We start from the raw sequence: 12,941 nt of genomic DNA on the forward strand, positions 1-12,941 counted from the left end.
AGACTCTGTCTCAAAAAAAAAAAAAAAAAAAAAATTTATCTGGGCATGATTGCACACACCTGTAGTCCCAGCTACCAGGGAGGCTGAAGTGGGAGGATTACCTGAGCCTGGGAGGTCAAGGCTGCAGTGAGCTGTGATCACGCCACTGCACTCCAGCCTGGGCAACAGAGCAAGACCTTGTCTCTAAATGAATGAATGAATAAAAGACAGCACTTCAGACAAATGGGGGGCGGAGTTGGTAGGGGGTTGTGGGCGGGGGGGGGGGGGTTGGTGGCGGAGATCAAATGGGTGGAATAACCAGCAAGTCTTTTGGGGAAATTACAAAAAGCTGTGCCCTTATTCGACACTGAAATAAATTCCAGGTGGACCACATATTTAACACCATAATGTATCAGAAAAAAGACATGAGTGAATATTTTAATAATCTTGGAGATGGAAAAGACTTTCTAAGCATGATGAAACCTAGAAGCCATAAGAGAAAACATGGAAATGTTTGACTACAAGGCTTCTATACAGAAGAAATGGCCATAAGTCAGTTTGAAAGACAAATGACAAAACGGAGGGGATATATCCTGGTTGCCCCCTACCCTGTCCCCTCCTGCCCGCCAGCCCCTCCAAGCCGAGACGGGGACGAGCAGGAGGGATGGCTGGGGCTGTGAGAGTCGAGACCGAGCACCTGGCAGAGGCTTCTCCTGCGGCGCTCTGGCCAGCGCCCACATGTTTAGGGGCCGGGAAGTCCCGGAAACCCCAGGCGGGCCATCTGGGTCCTCAGCAGGTGCCTTGGCACAGCCGAGCCGAAGTCCTCCTGGAGGCTGCTCACCACTTCCCTCGCGTGGCCATCCTAAGAACTGCAATCCTCTGTTCCTGCTCAGCCCCTTCTGAGCATCAAGGCGAGAATTTAAAAATAAATAAATAACAGCTAATTTTTTGAGGGAACTAACCATGTTCCAGGCATTGTGTTAAACACTTAACCTAGCATATTTCATTTTCCCCTCAAAACAGCTCTTCGAGGTAGGTGCACTGTATTCTTATCTCCATTTGATGGACGGAAACTGAGGCTTGAAAAAAGTGACTTGTCTTTCTAAGTGGTGGCACCAGAATTTACTGCCACATTCCTGGCCTCAGCTCTTAATGTAATAAAGCCAAACCTTTGGGAAAATTCAATAAAACAAACTTTTTTGAGGTTTACCTTTATCCAGGCCTTTTGCAGGTGCTGGGGATTCTGAATTGAGGAAAATAGTCATCAGAGGTGACAGCAGAGGAACACTCCTGATACAGCGAATCCTGATGGCTACAGAGGACTCATTCACCCCAGGAAGCGGTGGGGGCAGTGGGGAGGGATCCCAGAGGAGACGTCCTCCAAGCTGCATCTTGTGGAGAGAGAGTAGTGGGGTGGCACTTACTAAGGTGGGCTGGATGACAAGTGGGGCTTGGGGGAGGAGCAGTGATCTATATGCTCTGAGTTTGGGGGTAGACCACAGATGGGGCTGAATAAAGTACACCAGGACCAAGCTAAGGAGTTTGGGTGCAAAGATTTTTTTGAAAGCTTTTCCATGTTTCAGTTGCTTGGGTCTAGGGACAGCCTGCTCTGCCAACCCAACCTGCCTCCTTTGCAGATGCTTTCTCACCCCAGTTCAAGGTGCTCTCAGAAACTTGGGAGTCCCTCCTGATTCCTTCCTCTTCCTCACTTCTATCCACTTAATTATCAGAGCCATCCAGTTTGCTTCCTAAATACTTCCTAGGTTCACCCACTTCTCTCCATCCCTCTTGCCTCTCCTCTAGTCCAGCCTGCCTTCCTGTCACTCCTGAATTCAGCTGCTGTTGGTGACTTGGTCTCACCACCTTCAAACTTTTACACAAGAGAAATCCTTCTAAAACAAATCTGACCACATCCCCTCTCTTACTGAAAATGCTTTTCATTGATTCATTCAACAAATATCAAGTATTTATTATATGTTGAATATTCAAGATATAATTATGAGCAAAACATGGAATTTAAAGCCTATGGGGGTGACAGACATGAACCAAATCACCCCCTAAATAATTGTATAATAAAAACTGGGTTAGATGCTATGGGAGGGACTGGCCTAGACAGGGAGATCTTTGAATGCTCCCCAAGGCATCCCATCTGAAGCTTGAATAGCAGTCAGCCAGATCAACAAGCCAAGGATGGGTAAGAGCTTACACAAAGGCCCTGAAGTTGCTTCTCTGAGTTTCTGTTTCCTTGTCTGTATAATGGGAATATTTAGAGTTATGAGGATTAAATGAGTTAATATGTGTAAAGTTCTTAGAACAGACCTTAGGATATAAATTTTCCATAAGTGTTAGTTATAATTTTATATATATATATATATATATATATATATATATATTTGAGATGGAGTCTCACTCTGTTACCCAGGAGGCAGTGGCGTGATCTCTGCTCACTGCAATCTCCGCCTCCCAGGTTGAAGCAATTCTTCTGCCTCAGCCTCCTGGGTAGCTGGGATTACAGGCATGTGCCACTACGCCTGGCTAATTTTTGTGTTTTTTGTAGAGATGGGGTTTCACCATATTGGCCAGGCTAGTCTTGAATCCTGATCCACCCACCTCAGCCTCCCAAAGTGCTGGGATTACAGGAGTGAGCCACTGCGCCTGGCCAATAACTTAATAATATATATTTTTTTAAGTGGAGAGATATTGGAAATCTTTCAGCAAAGGAGTTAAAGGAGAAAGTAGCATTTTTTAAATGTCACTCCAGCTGCAATGAGGAGCATGGATTAGTACAAAGAAAGAGCAGATTTGGGGAAACTAATGAGACTTTTGCAGGGGTCCATTGAGAGCTATGGGGATTTGGGCTAGGGAGGCAGAGGGAAATTGGAGAGATTTTGTGGTTTAGGTAGTAGACACTGCTGGACTTGCTGTTTTATTGGTAGTGGGAGGCTGTAGGAGGTAGGTGGTCCCTACAACTGGTTGGGTGGTGATGTTCTTCACCAAGACAGGGAAGCCTGAATGATGCCTAGGCCTTGGGGGGGATGCTGATTCTGGATGTGTTTAGATGCACACACTGTGGGACATCCCAGATGAGGGCTGCATAGGCAGCTGATTCACTGTGGAGTTCAGAAGAGAAACTGTGGCTGGAGATACAAAACTAAGATTGTTGGTGATATGGTTTGGATCTGTGTTCCCACCTAAATCTCATGTCAAATTTGTAATCCCCAGTGTTGGAGGTGGGGCCTGGTGGGAGATGATTATACTAGGGGTGGTTTCTCATGAATGGTTTAGCACCATCCCCTTGGTGCTCTTCTCATTATAGTGAGTGAGTTCTCATGAGATCCAGTTGTTTAAAAGTGTGTGGCACCACCCGACCACTCTGTCTTGCTCCTGCTCCTGCCATGTAAGACGCGCTGGCTCCCCCTTTGCCTTCAGCCATGATTGGAAGCTTCCTGAGGCTTCCCCAGAAGGCAAGCAGATGCTAGTATCATGCTTCCTGTACAGCCTGTGGAACTCTGAGCCAATTAAACCCCTTTCCTTTCTTTTCTTTTTTTTTTTTTTTTTTTGATGGAGTCTCACTCTGTCACCTAGGCTTAGGCTGGAGTGCAGTGGCGTGATCTCAGCTCACTGCAACCTCCACCTCCCAGGTTCAAGGGATTCTCCTACCTCAGTCTCCCAAGTAGCTGTGACTACAGGCATGTACCACCATGCCCAGCTAATTATTTTTGGTAGAGACAGGGTTTTACCATGTTGCCCAGGCTGGTCTCGAACTCCTGATCTCAAGTGATCTGCCCACCTCAGCCTCCCAAAGTGCTGAGATTACAGGCATGAGCCACCGTGCCCAGCCTCCCTTTTCTTTATAAATTACCCAGTCTCAGGTATTTCCTTATAGCAATGCAAGAACAGACTAATACAGTTGGCAAATAAGTGATCACCTCAATCACCCCATCTTTGAGATGGTAGAGGTAGGAGATAGCTAGATGATTTTTTTTTTTTTTTTTTTTTTGAGACGGAGTCTCGCTCTTTCACCCAGGCCGGACTGCAGTGGTGCTATCTCGGCTCACTGCAAGCTCCGCCTCCCGGGTTCACACCATTCTCCTGCCTCAGCCTCCTGAGTAGCTGGGACTACAGGTGCCCGCCACCACGCCCAGCTAATTTTTTGTATTTTTAGTAGAGACGGGGTTTCACCGTGTTAGCCAAGATGGTCTCGATCTCCTGACCTCGTGATCCACCTGCCTCGGCCTCCTAAAGTGCTGGGATTACAGGCGTGAGCCACCGTGCCTGGCCGCTAGATGATTTTTAAGGTTTCTTCTGGTTCAAACACGCATAGGATTCCAAGTGTTAAGGTCAGTAGGACTCCAGAGACAGAGAGAAAATCGATGTGGTCTGAAAGACTTGGCAGAAGCTCCTTGGAGGCTATTTGTTATTCATTCATCAGTCTTTTACTGAGCAGCTACTCTGAGCCACATGCTCTATTGGGGGTGGAAGGGTAAATAAGACCTAGCCGCCAAACCAGTGTGGTGGCTGACATTTGTAATTTCAGCTACTCAGGAGGCTGAGGCAGAAGACTGCTTGAGTCCAGGAGTTCAAGGCTACAGTAAACTGATTGTATCACTGCACTCCAGCCTAGGTGACAGGGTAAGACCCCATCTCTGGAGAAAAAAAAAAAAAAAAGGCCGGGCATGGTGGATTACAGGCTGTGATTATGCCTGTAATCCTGGCACTGTGGAAGGCCAAGGCAGGTGGATTGCTTGAGGTCAGGAGTTCAAGACCAATCTGACCAACATGGTGAAAACCTGTCTCTACTAAAAATACAAAAATTAGCGGAGCGTGGTGGCAGGTGCCTGTAATCCCAGCCACTTGGGAGGCTGAAGCAAGAGAATTGCTTGAAACTGGGAGGCGGAGGTTGCAGTGAGCCAAGAATGCACCACTGCACTCCAGCCTGGAGACACAGCAAGGCTCCATCTCAAAAAAAAAAGCATCTCAGGGTCTCAGGCTTGTTAGACCAAGGAATGTTTCCTAAAGGAAGTAACAACTAAGATTAAGACCCAAAAGTCAGGTAAAAGAAAGCTCCCTCCTCTTGAATTTTTCACTTTAGACTTTACCATGCACTCTCAGAGTCCATTCCAGGAACAAAGGCCCAGGCAATAGCAGTTGCACTTCCTAGGTTCTGCTGAATTTTCCTTCTTCTCTGAGATCCTTCTTCTCAATGTTCCCTCTGGCCTCATCTTCACATTCTCCGCCAGGGCTAGGAATAGGGTCAGGGCAAAGGGACCGAGGGTACAGAAGTAGGGAGGCGCTCACTCATGGGTCGTGCAATGTGCTCCTGGCCCTCTTCCCACTCACACCCCCACTCTAGCTTTTCCCTGTACTCTGCTGGCATCTTGCTATTCCCACATGTGGCTTCCTCTGTTTACAGTGAGCCTTGCCAACACTTGACTGAGGAAAGCTTGCTCATGATGAGCTCAGATGTCACCTCCTCCTGGAAGTCCACTGCTTTCTCCAGTCGTCCCTGTCCTTCTACCTAGGCCAAGATGGTCCCCTGTGCTCTAACAGCATGGTGAAGACTGCACAGTGGTTAACAGAACAGGCTTTAGCATCAGAGCCCTGCTGTGCTGTTTATTATCTGTGGATCACTCTCTGAGCCTGTTTCCTTCCACATGTGTGAAATGTGGTGCTGGCATCACAGGGGAGTTGTAAAGATTAAATGAGAAAACATATGTAAAGTGATCAGCAGTGACTGGTATACGTACCAGTCAGATACATGATATAATAAAGATAAAGACAAGAAAATAATGAGAATAAATGAACACTTTAGAAGATGCATAAACAATAACAGTAGCTACCGCTTACAGTAAGTGGTTATTGTTTATACTTCTTCTAAAGTGCTCATGTTTTCTAATTATTTTCCTGCCTTTATCTTCATTATATCATAAGCTTCTGGGGGCAAGAAGGAAGAAGAGGAGGAGGAAGAAGATATTCATAATTGACATTTAACAAGCATTACGACATGTCTGCTGAATAAAGAAATGACAATTTCATGGGAAATGTTCTGGGCAGGAAATCTGGAATCCTGAGCTCCAATCACATGGTCCTAGTGATGGTACAGTTTCTGCCTCACTCACATTCACTTTAAGGAAAAGCTGCCCAGACCACAAACCCTGCTGGGGCCACGCTTTAAACCACCTGGCCCCTCCAGCCTCTAGACTTGAGCAGATAGGGCCAGCACCGGAGTCAAGGGTCACCATTTAATATATTAGCTGCTGTCCTCTGACCAATGGTGTATACTATGGTGTGAATGTGTTCCCCAAGGTTCATGTGCTGGAAACTTAATCCCCAAGGCAACAGTGTTGAGAGGAGGGACCTTCAGGAGGTGATTAGGTCATGGGGACTCTGCCATCATAAATAAATTAATGACGATATTGAGGGAGTGGGTTCCTGATAAAAGGATGCATTCAACCCCATTTCTTCTTCTCTCTCTCTTTCTCTCTCCCCTTCTCTCTGTCCCTCTCATGCTGTCTTGCTCTCTTGCCCTTCACCTGCTGCCATGGAATACACAGCAAGAAGGCCCTTGCCAGGTGTGCACCCCTAAACCTTAGACTTACCAGGCTTTAGAGCTGTAAGAAATATATTTCTATACCTTATAAATTACCTAGTTTCAGATATTCTGATATAGCAGCACAAAATGAACTAAGACAACCTAGCACAACAATCTAAGATGGGCTGATTCGAGGCTTTATTGAACCAAGGAAGAGAAAGACATTGTTGTCCCAGGCATGGCGCCTCACACACAAAACCCCAGAACTTCGAGAGGTCAAGGTGGGAGGATCAGTTAAGCCCAGGAGCTCAAGACCAGCCTGGACAACAGTGAGACTTTGTCTCTACGAAAGGAAAAAAAATTTTTTTTAATTAGCCAAGCATGGTGGTGCATGCCTGTATTCTCAGCTACTTTGGAGGCTGAGGTGGGAGGATCATTTGAGCCTGGGAGGCAGAGGTGGCAGTGAGCCAAGATCGTGCCATGCCACTGCACTACAGCCTGGGTGATAGAGTGAGACCCTGTCTCAGGAAAAAAAAAAAAGGAAAGAAATTGTCAGGTGGCAGAAGGAGTTGAAGTAGAGAAGTCAGAGACAGCCAGGTATGGTGGCTCATGCCTGTAATTCCAACCGGTTGGGAGGCTGAGGCAAGTGGATCACTTGAGTCCAGGAATTCATGACCAGCCTAAGCAACATGGCAAAGCCCTGTCTCTACAAAAAATATAAAAATTAGGCTGGGTACGGTGGCTCATGCCTGTAATCCCAGCACTTTGGGAGGTTGAGACAGGAGGATCACCTAAGGTCAGGAGTTCGAGACCAGCCTGGCAAACATGGTGAAACCCTGTCTCTACTAAAAATACAAAAATTAGCCAGTCGTGGTGGTACACACCTGTAATCTCAGCTACTCAGGAGGCTGAGGCAGGAGAATCACTTGAACCTGGGAGGCGGAGGTTGCGGTGAGCTGAGATCGTGCCATTGCACTCCAGCCTGGGAAACAAGAGTGAAACTCCATCTCAAAAAAAAAAAAAAAAAAAATTAGCCAGGCATAGTGACACATGCCTGTAGTCCCAGCTACTTGGGAGGCTGAGGCAGGAAGATTGTTTGAGCCCAGGATGCAGAGGTTGCAGTGAGTGATGATCGTGGCACTGTACTCCAGCCTGGGTGACAGAGCAAGACCCTGTCAAAAAAAAAAAGTCATAGACAAGTAGGTCTTGGCCAGGAAAGCCATGTGCAGGCCCAGAGAAGTAGGATCAGAGACCAAGAGAAGGCAGAAGCCTGACTGTAGGTAGAGGGGGAAGGAGCAATCCTATCCAGTGATGAGGAGTGGTGAGAAGATAGAGAATAAATAGACCAGTGAGTCCTAGACCTCTATCCTTCATCCTGCCTTTCAGTTCCAGTCTTTACAAGAAACTCCTTTGTACTTGAGCTAAATTGGGTGGGCTTCTGCAGCCCAATGAGCCTGACTCTACTGTGTTATCTTGGCAAGTCCCTGCCCCTCTCTGAGCCTCGGTCTGACTAGATTGTCTCTAAAGTCCTCTCCAGGTCAGTGTTCTTTCTGAACACTGTGTAGAGGGGATGGTTTTTAGGTTGTTGGCACCTGAGTTCAGTATTAGTTACAGAGTGCCCCTGACATCCTGGCTCCCAAAATAGCGTGGTGGCTGGTTAAAGAGCCTGTTAGAGGATCCAACACCCACCTGGCTTTGAACCTGAGACCCGCTGATACAATTCGACTCCTCCTTCGATTGTATCTTTTGTTGGATCACAAAGGAACTGAGGAACCAGGGCTGGTGTTTCTCCAGTGTCTTTTGGCTCCTGAATGCCCTACGTACCCCCTTAATACTTTTCTGGACCCACTTCAGCATTTCAGAGGATTTCAGTGCCAAATCTGCTCTAAAAAAAAGTGCCACTCCAGGAAGAATTTGAACAAAAAAAGTTTCCTTCTTTGGTATTAAGATTTCCTGCCTTCCAGCTGTTTGGCTCTGAGCCTGTGCCCTGCCTTCATCCTCCTAAGCTAACAACTATGTTGATAATAATACTCCCTTGCTTTTGTATGGTGTTTTGCACTTTTCAGAGCATTTTAACACTTATCATCTTACTTGATGAAAAAAACTCAGGCAGGATGGACAAGAAGGAGAGGCAGAGGATAATACCTGGATAATATCTATCACTTCTCCCATTCCCTCTACCCCCTTAGGACAATTTATTTTCAAATAATGTAAAATAAATTATTCCTATGCCTTTTTTAAAAACAGGTGGAATTTTTTTTTTTTTTTGAGATAGAGTCTCTCTCTGTCACCCAGGCTGGAGTGCAGTGGTGCAATCTCAGCTCACTGCAACCTCTGCCTCCCAGGTTCAAGTGATTTTCCTGCCTCAACAACCTGAATAGCTGGGATCACAGGTGTGCACCACCATGCCCAGCTAATTTTTTAAAAATTATTTTTAGTAGAAATGGGGTTTCACCATGTTGGCCAGGCTGGTCTCGAACTCCTGACCTCAGGTGATCTGCCCGCCTCAGCCTCCCAGAGTGCTGGGATTACAGGTGTGAGCCACCGTGCCGGCCTAATATAAGGTGGAAATATTGAGATTGAACTTGATTAAGTGACTTGCCCAAGGTCACAAAGCAGGTTGATGGCTCAGTAGGATCTATAAGGCTTACAATCAAGGATCACACTTGGCCGGGTGCGGTGGCTCATGCCTGTAATCCCAGCACTTTGGGAGGCCAAGGCAGGCGGATCACGAGGTCAGGAGATCGAGACCATCCTGGCTAACACGGTGAAACCCCGTCTTCACTAAAAATACAAAAAATTAGCCAGGCATGGTGGCGGGCGCCCGTAGTCCCAGCTACTTGGGAGGCTGAGGCAGGAGAATGGCGTGAACCCAGGAGGCGGAGCTTGCAGTGAGCTGAGATCACACCACTGCACTCCAGCCTGGGTGACAGAGCGAGATTACATCTCAAAAAATAATAAATAAATAAATAATTAATTAAAAAAAAAGGATCACACTTAATGTTTATAGTCATTTTCTCAAGACCTGCCCAACCCTATTTTGCACACTGCTAGCCAAGGCAAGGGACCTTGAAGAAAAGTCGTGTTCTTGACATGTATGCCCCTTTGGTGCCTGCAGGGATCATTCATAATCTTAACCTGTACCCTCTACAGAGACTTAGCTGTCCCACAGTGGCTTGCGAAGCACCAGGAGGTCACAGAAGTAAGCTAGGTTGGATGTAATGTTTTCAATACTGTTCCTTGGGTAATGGCAAGAATAAATTCTGTTGGAAAACACTGTTTTCTTGTTTTTCTTATGGAACACTTGGCAGAAGACAGAAAAGGTTGAGAACCATCAGTCTATCCCTCCCTCAGTATCTCTAAAAAAAAGGAAGCAGGGCCAGGTGCGGTGGCTTATGCCTGTAATCCCAGCACTTTGGGAGGCCAAGGCGGGTGGATCACTTGAGGTCAGGAGTTCAAGACTGTCCTGGCCCACATGGTGAAACCCCGTCTCTACTAAAAATACAAAAATTAGCTTGGTGTAGTGGCGCACGCCTGTAATCCCAGCTACCTGGGAGGCTGAGGCAGGAAAATCGCTTGAACCTGGTAGGTGGAGGTTGCGGTGAGCTGAGATTGCACCACTGTGCTCCATCCTGGGTGACAGAGTGAGACTCCATCTCAAACAAACAAACAAAAAAAGGAAGGTAATAGTCTCTTTCTCTCCTCCCTCCCTAAACTCTACTCTGCAGCAAGGACATCCTTCCCCGGCCCCTCTGTTTTGGGCCTCCTTGCCAACTGTGCTCATTGCTGCATTCCCACCTGGTCATTCCAGAGCCCATCCCTCTCAGCCACAACATGGAGTCAAGTTATCTTGGGAGGCAAGCAGTAAGCTCTCCATAACACAGTTCTAATAGCTGGGGACAGGTGAGGAAGCAGAAGGGAGTAGCAGCTTTCCCTGTGCTTGCTCCAGAGTCGGCGCTCACCCCTTGCCCAGTGCCTCAGCTGAAAGCTTAGCGGGCAGCTCTTATGGTACCACCCAGCACAACAACTGTAGATGCACAGCTGGGAAGTTAGTAATTGCAGTTAGCTCATCTGATGGCCAGAGGAACGCTGTGTCAGTCTGGGTGAAGACAAGAAAACAAGTGATTGGAATTTCAAACAGAGGGAATTGGTGTCAGAGAACTGGTTAGAAATCTGTTAGAAAGCCTGAAGGAGCAAAGCTGGTAAAGTTGGGTAGACTAGAGATTAATAGATGCAAGAAGTTCTAACACTCCAAGACCTGGAGAATCAAAAGGGAAAGTGTCGCTAGACCCCAAAGTGCACTTGTTGCTAACACTACTGAAGCACTGCTTTTGCAATTATGCTAACAGAACTGCCAGAGGTCACTGGGGCCTGCAGCTACCCAACTGCTGCCCCTCCATACCACCAACACTGCTGGAGCCTGGCAAGGAACCCACTACCACCACTGCTGGAAAGGCTGAAGGTCTCCAAGCCCATAACTACCAGCTGCTGCCAGAGCCTCCAGCAGAAGCAGAGAGAACAATGGCTTCACCTCTCCTCCCACCATCCCCTCCCCAGGCACACAATTTCCCACCTGTACTTCCCATTGACCAAATATGACAGGAAGCCAGCTGGCAAGAAGTGTCTGGGGAATGTAGTTTTCAGGGTCCAGAGTGGGAAAGATAGAGTGGAGCTCAAAGCAAATAGGCAAATGACTAGTGCAAATACTATTGAACCTTTCAGCTAATGTGGGTACCTTAAAGGCCATATGTATTGGACATTAGTTGAAACATTCAATAGTATTTGCACTCGTCATCTGCTTTATTTCTCCATTTTTCCCTTTCTATTTAACAATAGGCCCTGATTTCCTTTCCAGGATTCATGTATTTTCAGGAAGGTAACTTCCTTGGGTAGAGCAGGGCTGAGCCAAATCAGGGGACTCAATCCACTGGCCAGAATGATGGGTCAGAGTGGTCATGTGAACTCAGCCAGTCCAATCAGAATGAATCTCAGGATTTTTGCTGGGAAGGCGGGCACATGGACTCCCTCTTACTTACTAATCACAATTAAGAAAACATGCAGGCCCTGGGAGCTGTTGACAATCCTATTGGGACAATAAGGGGAATGAAAACCAAGAAGAAAGAGTAGCCTGGATGACTAGAATTTTTTTTTTTTTTTTGGCACATATGTAACTTACATGCTGTAGCCACTGCTTAGAGCTCCAGCACAGTTGATTGGGCTTATACTCCTCTGGGTATCTATTATCTATCAGAAAGCAAAACTGGAGCCAGGAGCAGTGGCTCAGGCCTGTAATCCCTGCACTTTGGAAGGCTGAGGGTGGAGGATCACTTGAGCCCAGGAGTTTTGAGACTCGCCTGGGCAACATAGTGAGACCCTGTCTCATAAAACAAACAAAAACAAAACAAAACAAAAAACCAACAACAAAAACAAAAAACAAGAACAACAACAAGAAAGCAAAACCATGCGAGACCAATTTACAAGCATCATGGAAAACTCTGGAAGAGAAAGAAAGTTCTTTCCCATTGTCACATCCTAGATAGTGGCTTTTAAATATTTTTTACTGTACTCTCAAGAGTAAATAGTTTTTTTTTTTTTTTTTTTAAGACAGAGTCTCATTCTGTCGCCCAGGCTGGAGTGTGGTAGTGCAATCTTGGCTCACTGCAACCTCCGCCTTCTGGGTTCAAGTGATTCTTGTACCTCAGCCTCCCAAGTAGCTAGAATTACAGGTGTCTGCCACCATACCCGGCTAATTTTTGTATTTTGAGTAGACATGGAGTTTCTCCATGTTGGCCAGGATGGTCTTGAACTCCTGGCCTCAAGTGATCTGCCCGCCTCGGCCTCCTAAAGTGTTGGGATTACAGGCATGAGCCACCATGCCCAGCAGATAAACAGATTTTACACTGTAGCCAGTACACATGTCTATGTGTATATGATTGAAACAAAAAAAGTTTCATAGTAATTTTCACAGTACCCTTGCTATGTGCAATTAATTCAAATTTTCAATTCCATTCCATTTTAAAAATAAAAGCTAGTTACAAACTTCTAAATAATTTCATGATCTATTAATTATTTATGACCTGCAATCATATTTGAAACACATTGTCCATATTATACCATGCCATTATCAATTGCTGTAAAACATAACTCTTGATTGTAAGCATCCTAACCTTTACTAACTTTTCTGCTTCTTTACCCATATTCTGTCTTCCTTTACTCTGAGGGAAAGCCACAGTGTGCCAGCTCCTATCAGAGGCCAACCTCTCCCCTGACCTGTGCTCAGGGTCCCAAGAACTTAACCTCTGCAGATACTCTCTTGTTTGCATTGTCTATTTCCTTCTGTCTACTGGAATATTTCATTTACTCACTTGCTCTAGAGTCTGTATCTTAAAACCAAAAACAAACCAACAAATAAAAACTTCCTCCTTTGGCC

At 46.2% G+C, this 12,941-nt stretch overlaps 1 protein-coding gene across 2 annotated transcripts in view, besides 2 other annotated features; it reads right to left on the minus strand.

Annotated features, from left to right (window-relative positions):
• The window catches only part of RIMS3 (regulating synaptic membrane exocytosis 3), a 71,387-nt gene that overhangs the window by 47,558 nt on the left and 10,888 nt on the right, over window positions 1-12,941 (minus strand). Inside the window, exons 3-4 of one of the 2 annotated variants that reach the window (XM_047435184.1) lie at window positions 5,079-5,221; window positions 1,190-1,370 (exon numbers count right to left, since the gene is read on the minus strand). The exons of the other annotated variant lie outside the window; for it this stretch is intronic. The gene's annotated coding sequence lies outside the window, so the exon portion shown is untranslated. The remainder of the gene's footprint in view (window positions 1-1,189; window positions 1,371-5,078; window positions 5,222-12,941) is intronic. 2 annotated transcript variants of the gene reach the window in all.
• Window positions 674-823: an enhancer, noted in NCBI's record as "active region_848". NCBI's record gives its function as "activates an Ori minimal core promoter by ATAC-STARR-seq in GM12878 lymphoblastoid cells {active_cell/tissue: GM12878}" and the evidence as "EXISTENCE:reporter gene assay evidence [ECO:0000049][PMID:35858748]".
• Window positions 884-933: an enhancer, noted in NCBI's record as "active region_849". NCBI's record gives its function as "activates an Ori minimal core promoter by ATAC-STARR-seq in GM12878 lymphoblastoid cells {active_cell/tissue: GM12878}" and the evidence as "EXISTENCE:reporter gene assay evidence [ECO:0000049][PMID:35858748]".

Source organism: Homo sapiens, chromosome 1 (genome assembly GCF_000001405.40).
Source record: "Homo sapiens chromosome 1, GRCh38.p14 Primary Assembly".
NCBI classification, from domain to species: Eukaryota; Metazoa; Chordata; class Mammalia; order Primates; family Hominidae; genus Homo; species Homo sapiens.